The 14,461-nt window shown below is 37.1% G+C and overlaps 1 long non-coding RNA gene across 1 annotated transcript in view, besides 1 other annotated feature; it reads right to left on the reverse strand.

Moving 5' to 3' along the window:
* Window positions 1-14,461, reverse strand: part of LOC105377865 (uncharacterized) — a 374,941-nt gene that overhangs the window by 257,523 nt on the left and 102,957 nt on the right. The window lies entirely within an intron of this gene.
* Window positions 8,527-9,028: an enhancer, noted in NCBI's record as "NANOG hESC enhancer chr6:78901647-78902148 (GRCh37/hg19 assembly coordinates)". NCBI's record gives its function as "activates a minimal SCP1, AML or CMV promoter by ChIP-STARR-seq in naive H9 embryonic stem cells {active_cell/tissue: H9 hESC(naive)}" and the evidence as "EXISTENCE:reporter gene assay evidence [ECO:0000049][PMID:30033119]".

Raw genomic sequence — 14,461 nt, forward strand, 5'->3', positions numbered from 1 at the left:
CATTATTGTTGACTACTCATCCTGTTGTGTTGTCAAATACTAAATCTTATTCATTCTATCAAACTATATTTTTGTACCCATTTACCATCCCCTTTTCCCCTTGACTACTACCTTTCCCGGTCTCTGGAAACCATTATTTTACTCTCTATCTCCATGAGTTCAATGGTTTTAAATTTTTTAGGTCCCACAAATAAATGAGAGCATGCAAAACGTGTGTTTTTGTGTCTGACTTATTTCACTTAACACAATAATATCCAGTTCTATCCATGTTATTAAAAATGACAGGATCTCATTTTTTATGGCTGTAGTACTCCATCATGTATATATACCACATTTTTAATGCATTTGTCTGTTGATGGACACTTAGGGTGCTTCTTGGTTATTGTCAATACTGCTGCAATATGCAGGTATCTCTTCCATATACTGGTTTCTATTCTTTTGATTACATACCTAGGAGTGACATTCCTGGATCATATGGTAGCTCTCCTTTGGCTTTTCTGAGGAACCTCTAAACTGTTTTCCACAGTGGTTGTAATCATTTGCATTCCCATCAATAGTATACAAGTGTTCCCTTTCTCCACACCCTCATCAGAGTCTGTTATATCCTGACTTTTGTATAAAAGTCATTTTAACTGGGTTGAGATAATGTCTCATTATAGCTTTGATTTGCATTTCTCTGATGATCAATGATGTGAACATTTTTATATACCCAACTGCCATTTATAGGTCTTCTTTTGAGAAATATCTGTTGTGAACTTTTGCCCATTTCTAATCAGATTATTGTTTTTTCCTTTAGAGTTGTTTTTGCTCCTTATATATTCTTGTTATTAATACCTTTCAGATGGATAGTTTGCAAATATTTTCTTCAACCATTTCATAGTTGGTTTTTTCATTTTCTTATTTTCTTGGCTGTGCAGAAGCTTTCTAACTTGATGGGATCCCATTTGTCCATTTTTGCGTTGGTTGCTTGTACTGGTGGAGTATTACTCAAGAAATCTTTGCCCAGTCTATGTCCTGGAAAGTTTCCCCAAAGTTTTCTTTTAGTAGTATCATAGTTTGAGGTCTTATATTAAGTCTTTAATCCGTTTTGATTTGATTATTATATTCAGTGAGAGATAGGAGTCTAATTTAATTCTTCTGCACATGAATATCTAGTTTTCTCAGCACCATTTATTGAAGAGACTATTCTTTTCCCAATGTATGTTCATGGCAGCTTTGTTGAAAATGAGTTCACTGTAGATGGATAGATTTACTTCTGGGTTCTCTGTTCTGGTCCATTGGTCTATGCATATGATTTCATGCCAATTCCATGCGTTTTGGTTACTATAGCTGTGTAGTATAATTTGAAGTTAGGTAATGTGATTCCTCCAGTTTTGTTGTTTTTGCTCAGGATGGCTTTCACTATTCTGGGTCGTTTGTGGTTTCATATAAATTTTGCAATATTTTTTCTATTTCTATCAAGAATGTCATTGATATTTTCATAGGGATTCCACTGGATCTGTAGATTCCTTTGGGTAGAATGAACATGTTAACAAAATTGATTCTTTCAATTCATGAACATAGAATATCTTTTCATTTTTTGTGTCCTTTTCAATTTCTTGCATCAATGTCTTAGAGTTTTATTGTAAATATGTTTCACTTTTTGATTAAGTTGATTCCTTGGTATTTTGTTTCATTTCTAGCTACTATGGATGAGATTGCTTCCTTGTTTTTTTTTTTTTTTTTTGAGACGGAGTCTTGCTCTGTCGCCAGGCTGGAGTGCAGTGGCACGATCTTGGCTCACTGCAACCTCCGACTCCCTGGTTCAAGCTCTTGGTCTCTTTTTTCAGATTGTTTGCTGTTGGCATATAAAAATGCCATTACTTTTTGTATGTTAATTTTGTATCCTGCAATTTTACTGAATTTGTTGATCAGTTCGAATAGTTTCTTGGAAGAATCTTTAGGTTTTTCCAGATATAAGATCATGTCATCTGCCAATAAGGATAATTTGACTTCTTCCTATCCAGTTTGGATGCACTTTATATCTTTATCTTGACTAACTTCCCTAGCTAGGACTTCCCATGCTATGTTAAATAACAGTGGTGAAAGTGGGCATCCTTATCATGTTCCAGATATTAAAGGAAAGGCTTTCAGTTTTACCCTATTTAGTATGATGCTAGTGTGGGTCTCTCATATAGCTTTTATTGTGTTAAGATATGTGCCTTATACATCCAGTTTTGGTTTTTTTTTTTTTATTATGAAGGGATGCTGAATTTTCTCAAATGCTTTCTCAGCATCAATTGATCATATAGTTTTTTTTAATCATTCTGTTGTTATGATAAGTCACATTGAGGTGGGTATGTTAAATCATCCTTGCATCTCTGGGATAAATCTCATTTGGTCAGGATGAATGATCTTTTTAATGTGTTGTTTAATTCAGTTTTCTTGTAAATTTTCTGAGGATTTTTACATCAATATTCTTCAGAGTTATTGGCCTGTAGGGTTTTTTTTTCTTTTTGATGTGTCTGTTTGTTTGTTTGTTTTTAAATCAGGGTAACACTACCCTCATAGAATTTTAGAAGTATTCCATCCTCTTCTATTTTTCAAAATAGTTTGAGTATGTTGGGTACTAGCTTTTCTTTAAATGTTTGCTAAATTTCAGCAGTGAAGCCATCAGACACTGGGATTTTCTTTGTTGGGAGACTGTTTATTACAGCTCCAATCTCATTATTTGTTATTGGTCTTTTCATATTTTGAATTTCTTTATGGTTTAATCTTGGTAGTTTGCAGGTGTCTAGGAATTTATCCATTTATTCCATGTTTTTCAATTTATTTGCATATACATACTCATACTAGCTGCTAATGATCTTTCACATTTTGCAGTATTGGTTGTAATGTATACTTCTTCATCTATTATTTTATTTATTTGGATCTTCTCTCTTTTTTGTCCTAGTCTGGATAGCTAAAGATCTGTCAATTTTCTTTATCTTTGCAAAAAAAAAAAAAAAAAAAAACACGCAAATTTTTATTTGGTTGATCCTTTGCATTTCGTTTTGCAAGAAAACGAGTTTTTGTTTTGTTAATCTTTCGTGTTTTTTAAATTCGAATTTTATTTATTTCTGCTCTGATCACTTTTCTTCTTTTCTTTTCCTTTACTTTTTCAATCTTTATTTTAAATTCAGAGGTGCATGTGCAGATTTCTTCCATAGGATTATTTTGTGATGTTGAGGATTGAGGTATAAATGATCTTGTCACCCAGGTATAGATCATAGTACCCAACAATTTTTTAACCCTTGCCTCCCTCCCTGCCTCCCCATACTAGTAGTTTCCAGGGTCTCCTGCTGTCATCTCTAGGTCCATGTGTACCCAATGTTTGGATAAAATGTTTTGTAAATATCTTTTAGGTCCATTTATTCTATAGTTCAGATTAAGTCTGATATTTCTCTGTTGATTTTCTGTCTGGGAGATATGTCCAATGCTGAAAGTGGAGTGTTGAAGTCTCCAACCATTATTGTGTTGTGATATATCTCACTCTTTAGCTTTAATAATATTTGCTTTATATATCCTGATGTTCCAGTCTTGGGTGCATATGTATTTATAAATGTTATGTCCTCTTGCTGAATTAACTCATTTATCATTATATAATTACTTTCTTTGTCTCTTTATAGTTTTGGTCTTGAAATCTATTTCTTCTGATATAAATATAGCTAGCTGTGTTCTTTTTCAGTTTCCATACGAATGGAATATCATTTTCTATCCCTTCATTTTAGTCTATTTATGTCTTTATAGATGAAGTGTATTTCTTGTAGGCAACAGGTGATTGAGTCTTATTTTTTTAATCCATTCAGTCAATCTATGTCTTTTTATTGGAGAGATTAATCTTTTTCATGGATTAATTCAGTGTTATTATTGATAAGTAAGGACTTACTTATTATTATTGATACATTCAGTGTTACTATTGATAAGTAAGGACTTACTCCTACTATTTTTTAAATTTGTTTTCTCATTGTTTTGTGATTTTTCTCTACTGTCTTTCCTTCCTTCCTGTCTTTCTTTTAGTGAAGGCATTTTCCAAGGTGGTATGTTTTAATTTCTTGCTTTTTATTTTTTGCGTATATGCTGAATATTTTTTATTTGGGGTTACCATGAGGCTTGCCAATAATACCTTATAACTCATTATTTTAAACTGACGACAACTTCACACTGCATAAACGAACTCACAAATAAGCAAAGAAATAACTATGTAACTCTGCACTTTAACTTCATCCCCTCTGATTTCTAACTTGTTATTATATCGATTTCTATTTTATTATTTCATCTATTTCTTAAAGATTTGTTTTAGTTATTATTTTTGATAGGTCCATCTATTAGCCTCTCTACTCAAGTTATAGGTTGTTTACACATTACAATTACAGTGTTATAATATTCTGTTTTGCTTCATATTTACTATTATGAGTGTTTAGCATTTCTCGTAGGACAGGGCCAGTGTTGCCAAAATCTGTTATCTTTTTTGTCTAGGAAAGTCTGTATTTCTCCTTCATGTTTGAAGGATTTTTTTGGATGAATATACTAATCTAGGCATATTAATCTGTTCTTGCACTACTATAAAAAAAATACCAGGCCAGGCGCGGTGGCTCATGCCTGTAATCCCAGCATTTTGGGATGCCGAGGCAGGCAGATCACAAAGTAAGGAGTTCAAGACCAGCCTGACCAACATGGTGAAACCTCATCTCTACTAAAAATACAAAAATTAGCTAGGTGTGGTGGTGCATGCTGGTAATCCCAGCTACTCAGGAGGCTGAGGAAGGAGAATCGCTTGAACCCAGGAGGCAGAGGTTGCAGTGAGCCAAGATCGCACCACTGCACTCCAGCCTGGGTGACAGAGTAAGACTCTGCCAAAACAGAAAAAAACAAACAACAAACAAACAAACAAACAAAAAAACTGAGACTGGGTAAATTATAATAGGCTGTACAGGTAGCATGATTCTGGCATCTTCCCAGCTTCTGGGGAAGCCTCAGGAAATCTACAATCACAGCAGAAGGTAAAGGGGAAGCAGGTATGTCTTACATGGCAGGAGCAAAAGGAAGAGGGGAAGGTGCTACACACTTTTTAAACAAACAGATCTTGTAAGAACTCACTTACTATGATGAGAGCAGCACCACTGTGGAAACCTGCCCCCATGATCCAATCACCTCCCACCAGGCCACACCTCCAACATTATGGATTAGAATTTGACATGAAATTTGGGTGGCAAGGCAGATTGTATTACTTCGTTCTCATGCTGCTAATAAAGACATCACTGAGACTGGGTAATTTATAAAGAAAAAGAACTTTAATGGACTCACAGCTCCACATGGCTGGGAAGGCCTCATAATAATGGCAGGAGGCAAAGGAGGAACAAAGCCACAGCTTACATGGAAGCAGGTAAGAGAGCATGTGCAGGGTAACTGCCCTTTATAAAACCATGAGATCTCATGAGACTAATTCACTGTCACAAGAACAACATTAAAAAAGAAAACCCTGCCCCCATGATTCAATTACCTCGCATCAGGTCCCTCTCATAACATGTGGAGATTATGGGAACTACAATTCAAGACGAGATTTGGGTGAGGACACAGCCAAACCATATCATTTCACCCTTGGCCTCTCTGAAATCTCATGCCCTCATATTTCAAAACCAATTGTCCCTTTCCAACAGTCCCCCAGTCTTAACTCATTTCAGCACTAACTCAGAAGTCCATAGTCCAAACTCTTATCTGAGACAAGGCAAGTCTCTTCTGTCTATGAGCCTGTAAAACTGAAAGCAAGTTAGTTACTTCCCAGATACAATGTGGGTACAGGCATTGGGTAAATATACTCATTCCAAATGGGAGAAACTGGCCAAAATGAAAGAGCTACAGTCCCCCTTCCAATCCAAATCCACAGGGGCAGTCAAACCTTAAGGCTCTAAAATGATCTTTGACTCCCTGTCTCATATCCAGGTCAAGCTGATGCAAGAGATGGGCTCCCATGGCCTTGGACAGTTCCACCCCTGTGGCTTTGCAAGGTACAGCCCCCACCTTCCAGCTGCCTTCACAGGCTAAAGTTGAGTGTTTGTGGCTTTTCCAGGCACACAGTGCAAGCTGTCGGTGAACCTACCATTCTGGGGTCTGGAGGATGTGACCCTCTTCTCACATCTCCACTAGGCAGTGCCACAGTGGGGACTTTGTGTGGGGGCTCCAAACCCACATTTCCCTTCCATACTCTGTCCTAGCAGAGGTTCACCATAGGGGCTCCACCCCTGCAGCAGATTTATGCCTGGACATACAGGCATTTCTGTACATCTTCTGAAATCTGGATGGTGGTTCCTAAACTTCAATTCCCGACTTCGGTACACATGAAGGCCCCAAACCAACTGGAAGCTGCCAAGTCTTGGGGCTTGCACCCTCTGAAGCAATGGACTGAGCTCCAGGTTGCTCCCCTCTCACCATGGCTGGGATGCAGGGTGCCAAATCCTGAGACTGCACAAAGCAGCAAGGCCTTGGGACCAGCTCATGAAACCATTTTTGCCACCTAGGCCTCTGGGCCTGCAATGGGAGGAGCTGCCTTAAATACCTCTGACATGCCCCGGAGACATTTTTCCCATTGTCTTGACAATTAATATTTGGCTCCTGGTTACTTATGCAAATTTCTGCAGGCCACTTGAAATTCTTCTCAGGAAATGGGTTTTTCTTTTCTTTTGCATCATCAGGCTACAAATTTTCCAAACTTTTATTCTCTGCTTCCCTTTTAAACATAAGTTGAATTCCAAACCATATATTTGTGAATACATAAAAGTGAATGCTTTAACAGCATGCAAGTCACATCTTGAATGCTTTGCTGCTTAGAAATTTCTTCCACCAGATGCCCTAAATAATCTCTCTGCACAAATCCCTATGTTGCCAGTCTCTTTGCTAAAACATGGCAAGTGTCACCTTAGCTCCAGTTCTGAACAAGTTCCTTATCTCCATCTGAGACTACCTCAGCCTGGACTATATTGTCCATATCACTATCAGCATTTTGGTCAAAGCCATTCAACAAGCCTCTAGGAAGTTCCAAACTTTCCCCCATCTTCCTCTCTCCTGAGGCCTCCAAACTGCTCCAACCTCTGCCTGTTATCCAGTTCCAAAGTTGCTCCCACATTTTCAGGTATCTTTATGGCAGCACCTTACTCTACCGGTAGCAATTTACTGTATTAGTCTGTTCTCATGTTGCTGATAAAGACATACCTGAGACTGGGTAATTTATAAAGGGAAGAGTTTTAATTGACTCACAGTTCAACATGGCTGGGGAGCCCTCACAATCATGGTTGAAGGTGAATGAGGAGCAAAGTCATGTCTTACATGGTGGCAGGAAATAGAGCTTGTGCACACAGGGAAACTTCCACTTATAAAACCATCAGATCTTGTGAGACCTATTCACTACTATAAGAATAGTTTGGGGGAATCATCCCCATGATTCAATTATCTCCACCTGGTCCCACCCTTGACACATGGGAATTATTACAATTAAAGGTGAGACTTGGGTGACAACATAGCCAAACCACATCAAATGGACTTACAGTTTCACAAGGCTTGGGATGCCTCACAATCATGGTGGAAAGCAATGTGGCAGCAAAGGCATGTCTTTCATGGTAACAGGCAAGAGAGTGTGTGCAAGGGAACTGCCCTTTACAGAACTATCAGATTTTTTGAGACTTATTCACTATCATGAGACCAGCATGGGAACCCACCCCCCATTACTTCCCACTGTGTCACTCTCATGACACATGGGGATTATGGAAGCTACAATTCAAGATGAGATTTGGGTAGGGAAACAGACAAATCATGTCACAGATTCAAACCATACTATTCTGCCCCTGATCCCTTCCAAATCTCATATCCTACTCACACTGCAAAATCCAATCATGCCTTCCTAACATTCTTTTGAATTCTTAACTCATTCTATTAGTAACTCAAAAGGCAGGTCCAAAGTCTCAAATGAGACAAGGCAAGTACCTTCTACCTATGAGCCTGTAAAACAAACAAACAAAAAAAGTTTGTTACCTCTAAGATACAATGGGAGTATGAGTATTGGGTAGATACTCCCATTCCAAAACAGAGAAATCAAACAAAAAAAGGGGGCTACAGGCCCCATACTAATCTAAAACCCAGCAGGGCAGTTATTAAATCATAAGGCTTTAAAATAATCTCTTTTGACTCCATGTCTCACATCCAGGGCACATTAATACCAGGGTTGAGCTCCCAAGGCTTTGGGCAGCTCTGTTCCTGTGACTGCAGATTTAAGCCACCAAGGCTGATATCAGGGCTGATGTTGAGTTCCTATGGCTTTTCCACATTCATAGTGCAAGCTGCTGGTTGATCTTCCATTCTGGGTTCTGGAGGACTGTGGAACTCTTCTCACAGCTCGACTAGGCAGTGCCCTAGTGGGGACTGTGTGTGGGGGTTCCAACCCCACATTTTCCTTAGCACTGCCCTAGTAGAAGTTATTCATGAGGGCTCCTCCCTGCAGTAGGCTTCTTCCTGAACATCCAGGCTTTTCCATACATCCTCTGAAATCTAGGAGGAGGCTACTAAGCCACAGCTCTTACATTCTGTTTACCTTCAGGCTTAATATCACATAGAAACTGCCAAGGCTTATAGCTTGCACCCTCTGAGGAAGTGGCTCAAGCTGAATCTGGGTCCTTTTAGCCACAGCTGGAGCTGGAGTGGCTGTGACAAAGGGAGCAGTGTCCTGAGGCTGCGCTGGGCAGTGGGGCAGTGGGGCTGTGAGGCCCTGGGCCCTGCCAAAGAAATCATTTTTCCCCCTAGGCCACCCATCCTGTGATGGGAAAGGCTCCTGTGAAGGTCTCTAAAATGCCTTTGAGGCCCTATCCCCATTGTCTCCACTATTAGCATTTGCCTTCTATTTACTTATGCAAATTTATGCAGCCAGCTTGAATTCCTCCCCTGATAATGGGTTTTTCTTTTCTACCACATGACCAGCCTGCAAATTTTCCAAACTTGTACACTCTACTTCCCTTTCAAATGTAAGTTCCAGTTTCATATCACTCTTTTGTTTTGTGTTGTTTTTGGCTCAGACATATGAGCATAGGTTGTTAGAACCTACCAGGCCACATCTTGAACAATTTGCTGCTTTGAAATTTCTTCTACCAGATACCCTAAATCATCACTCTCAAGTTCAAAGTTCCACAGATCCCTAGAGCAAGGGCACAATGCCTCCAAGTTCCTCGTTAAAGCATAGTGAAAGTGACCTTTGCTCCAGTTCCCAATAAGCTCCTCATCTCCATCTGAGACCTCATCAACCTGGACTTTATTGTCCATATCACTCTTAGCATTTGGTTACAACCATTTAGTCTCTAGGGAGTTCCAAATTTTCCCTCATATTCCTGTCTTCCTCTGATCCTTCCACACTCTTCCAACCTCTGCCTGTTACCCAGTTACAGAGTTGCTTCCACATTTTCAGGTATCTTTATAGATACCTGAAATCTATAAAGATTGATAACCCACTCTTCAGTACCAATTTTCTGCATTAGTACCAAATCTCTGTATTAGTCAGTTCTCACAGTGCTATAAAGAAATACCCAAGACTGTGTAAGGTAATTTTTTTAAAAAAGAGGTTTAATTGGCTCATGGTTCCACAGGCTGTACAGAAAGCATGATTCTGGCATCTGCTTGGTTTCTGGGGAGTCCTTGGGAAACTTAAAATCATGGCAGAAAAGGGAAGTAGGTACTCCTTACATGGTCAGAGCAGGAGGAAGAAATTAAGTGGGGTGGGGGAGCTTTTATACATTTTTAAACAACCATATATCATGAGAATTCACTATCACAAGAACAGCACCAACAGGAAAATCTGCCCCTACGATCTAATCACTTCCCATCAGGCCCCAATTCCAACATTGGGGATTACACGAGATTTAGCATGAGATTTTGGTGAAGACATATATCTGAACTCCATCGGAAGGATAAAATTGTCTTTTTTTTCCATCAGAACTTTAAATATGTCATACCACTCTCTCCTGGCATGTATGGTTTCTGCTGAAAAACCTGCTACCAAACGTGTTGGAGCTCCTTTGTCTGTTGTTTCTTTTCTCTTGCTGCTTTTAGAATCATTTCTTTATCCTTAATATTTGGGAATTTGACTATTAAATGTCTTGAAGTAGTCTTCTTTAGGTTAAATCTGCTTGATATTCTGTAATCCCCTCATACTTGAATATTGATATCTTTCTCTAGGTTTGGGAAGTTATCTGTTATTATCCCTTTGAATAAACATCCTACCTTGCTCCCACCTCTCTCTCTCTCTGTCTCCTCTGTAAGGACAATAACTTAGATTTGTTCATTTTGGGCTATTTTTCTAAATCTTGTAGGTGTGCCTCATTCTTTTTTATTCTTTATTCTTTTGTCTCCTCTGAATGTGTATTTTCAAATACCCTCTCTGCAAGCTTACTAATACTTTATTTAAAATTTTTAAATTTTTTTATTTTTGTGAGTACATAACAGGTGCATATCTTTATAGGGTATATGACATATTTTGATACAGGCATACAATGTGTAATTAACACATCAGGGTAAATGGAGTATCCATCAACTCAAGCACTTATCTCTTTGTTACAAAGTATTCAATTCTACTCTTTTAGCTCTTTTTAAAGGTACAACAAATTATTGTAGACTGTAGTCATCCTGTTGTGCTATCAAATACTAGACCTTATTTATTCTATTTAACTAAAATTTGTGCACCCATTAAACATCTCCATTCCTCCCCACCCCCACATTACCCTTTCCAGACTCTGGTAACCATCTTTCTACTCTCCATGTCCATGAGTTCAATTGTTTTAATTTTTAGATCCCACTAATAAGTTAGAATATGCAATGTTTGTCTTTCTGTGCCTGTTTTTTTTTTACTTAACACAATGACCTCTGATTTTATCCATGGTGTTGCAAATGACAGACTATTATTCTCTTTTATAGCTAAATTATACACCATTGGGTATATATTTCATATTTTCCTTATCCGTTTGTCTATTGATGGATATTTAAGTGGCTTCCAAATCTCAGCTATTGTGAAAGGTGCTGCAATTAACATGAGAGTGCAGATATCTCTTCAATATACTAACTTTTTTTCTTTTACATATATATCTAGCAGTGTGATTTCTGTATCATATAGTAGCTCCTTTTTTTTTTCAGTTTGTTGAGAAACCTCTAAGCTGTTCTCCATAATGTTTGTACTAATTTACATTCCCACCAAGAGTATAAAAGGCTTTTCTTTTTTCCACACCCTTGCCAGCATCTGTCAGTACCAGACTTCTAAATAAAACAATTTTAACTGGGGTGAGATAATATTTCATTTTAGTTTTGATTTGCATTTCTCCAATGATCAATAATGTTTTTCATATGCCCTTTGGCCATTTGTATGTCTTCACTTGAGAAATGTTTATTCAAGTCTTTAGCACATTTTTAAATTAGATTAATTTTTCCCTATAGAGTTGTTTGTGCTCCATATACAGTCTTGCTATTAATACCTTTCAGACGCATAGTTTGCAAATATTTTCTCCCATTCTGTGGGTTATCTCTTCACTTTGTTGATGATTTCCTTTGCTGTGCTGAAGCTTTTTAACTTCAGATCCCGTTTGCTCATTTTTGCTTTGGTTGCTTGTGCTTGTGAGGTATTACTCAAATCTTTTTCCAGTCCTATGTTCTGGAGAGTTTCTCTAATGTGCCCTTTTAGTAGTTTCATAGTTTGAGGTCTTAGATTTAAGTTTTTAATACATTTTGATTTGATTTTTCTACATGGTGAGAGATAGGAGTCTAGTTTTATTCTTCTGCATATGGATATCAAGTTTTCTCAGCACCATTTGAGCTTTCTAATTCTTTCTTCTGCTTGATCAGTTCTGCTAGTAAGAAACTGATGCATTCTTCATCATGTCAATGGCATTTTTCAGCTCTAGAATTTCTGCTTTATTCTTTCTAATTATTTCAACCTGTTTTTTAAGTTTATCTGACAGAATTCTGTATTCCTTCTCTATGTTATCTTGGATTTTTTTTTTTTTAGCTTCCTCAAAACAGTTACTTTGAATTCCCTCCCTCCCTTCCTCCCTTCTTCCCTTCCTCCCTCCCTCCCTCCCTCCCTTCCTTCCTTCCTTCCTTGTCTCCTTTCTCTCCACTCATTCCCAGATAATTCATCCTTGGTGAGACATGAGACCTCCAGCCCTGTAGATAGGTTTCTTTACTCACTTCAGCTATTTGGGAGTTCCTCCACTAGATGTAATCTTTGTGAGAGCTGTGACTTCATTTTATTCTTTTTGGTATCCTTCATGGAACATATTCCTGACCTACAGAACCTACTCAATATAAAAATTAGTTAAATAAATAAGAGAATAAATGCTCGCCTCTGACCTTGCTCCAAAAGCAGCCTTCACAGAAAATACTGGCACTCTCCAATAGTCAAACCAATGTTTTGCTTATCTAAAAAAGTATTTAACTTTTAAGTTACCTTCAACTGAAATTGAATTATAAACTTAATACTTCCAGTGAACATGGAGTTAACTCTGTGCTCTCTAGAGGTGCATTAGCTTTCATGACAATGAAGCCCTATTTCAGTAAATGGCTTTGTCTATTTTGCTAGCTGGCAGCTCTCACGCTTAAAACAAATTAATGCTACTCTTCAGAGTAAGATAAATATTTTTCACTGTTAGTCAGACACATGCATCACTGGTCTGAACATCTTGAGTAGAGATAGGTTATAAATAATTACAATTCCTTACAGAAGTAAAATGAAGCAAGCAATAAGAGGTGAGGGTATTGCTTTTGCAGCACTCTTTAGTGGTACATTTCTTTACCCTATCTTTAGCAGGCCCCTTCAATTATCAAATAATTGCATTTAAAACAGTTGAAAATTACAGTAAAAAAATGGATAAATCTTCTTTTCTTGAAACTCCTTAAAGCTCCAAGGGAGGATGAGAGCCAAGCGCTAGGCTCTGTGACAGTGGAATAAGCCAGTAAGGTTCTTGCCATTGACATTCATGTTGGGCTAACACTTTGGTCATCAGCCCAAGTCTGTCTAGATTTATGGACACAGCCAATAAGAAATAGAGAATATTCCAAGCGAATTGCTGCCATGGAATATAATGCCACATACCACAAGTTAAGCAAAAATGCATGTCTCATTTGTCCTTGAAATACATTAGTATAGCACAAAGATAGAAAACATAGCAGACTCACTTTGATTATGACCCCAAGGGAATTTCAACAAGACCTTCACTATAGTAACAGGGTTTATTTTTCCTGAGGCAGAAGGAGTATATTGAAAAAAAAAATATGCCTTTTGTGGCAATGAGGAAAGCATTTAATGATTAGGAGTATTTATTACCATTTGCCTTTTGGCCAAAACTTTATTACTGATGATTGGGGGTAAATCCTAATGCTCTACAATTAATTTCCAAAGTCACAAAATAATTGAAAAGAATCACTTTTATTAATCTTTAATAATTGAGAATTGTAACAAGAATGAACAAAACTTTGAAAGACAAACATCATGTTTTCTAAAGTTAATTTATGCCTACTTAGTTCATTGTCTAATTGTAACATATACCTTACTATGTACAAGAAATAGCTGAACAAAATCAGTACCATCTGTACTCAATGTTTAGAAGATCGCCTTTTACCTTTATATTTAATTGGGTTTACAACTTCAAAGGATTATTCATAATAAATTTTCATTTTAATGTATTCTTTGAAATTATGCACCTGTAATACCTCATAAATTTATGCACAATAATAATAATTAGCATTTATATGAAGCTTTTCATCTTCAAAGCATATTATATACATTAGGAAATTCATCATTTCAACACCCTTCTGAGGAAAGTAAATATTGTTATCTTCATTTTACAGATAGAGAAACTAGAAAGATGCTAGAAATTTCTAAGACAAGTCATCTATAGGCATAATTAGAAGTGGGCCTTAACTTTTTGTGTGTGGTAGGGTTATAAAATATTTACATTCTATTTTAACATTTGTAAAACAGAGAGTACAAACCATTATTTTGAAAACGTTGTATATCTGAATATTTGCATTTGCCTCAAATACATACACATATTCTACAAATATGGTGTGCAGTTTTAAAAATGTTATAAATAATTTATCTATAGCCCAATTCAATTTTTCCCAGTGTCTAAGCAGGTGTTAAATTATAAAATGAAAACCCTCTACCCTTAGTGGTAAGAGATTTGACTTATGTCTAACTTCTTGCACATCACTTCCAAATTATTAAAAATTTTCTTCTTTGGTATGTTTTTGTGGAAAACTGAGGATTCTTTATGCTTTGAGAGGTTGATTACTTTTACGAATTTATAATGCAATCATTTACTTGAGTAACTTCAATATGCAAGGCAGTACATGACTACTTATATATTCTGTTGCACTCAATATTATTTAAAGCATGTAAATACTGCTGTTTTCTAATCAT

Source organism: Homo sapiens, chromosome 6, assembly GCF_000001405.40.
Source record: "Homo sapiens chromosome 6, GRCh38.p14 Primary Assembly".
NCBI lineage: Eukaryota > Metazoa > Chordata > Mammalia > Primates > Hominidae > Homo > Homo sapiens.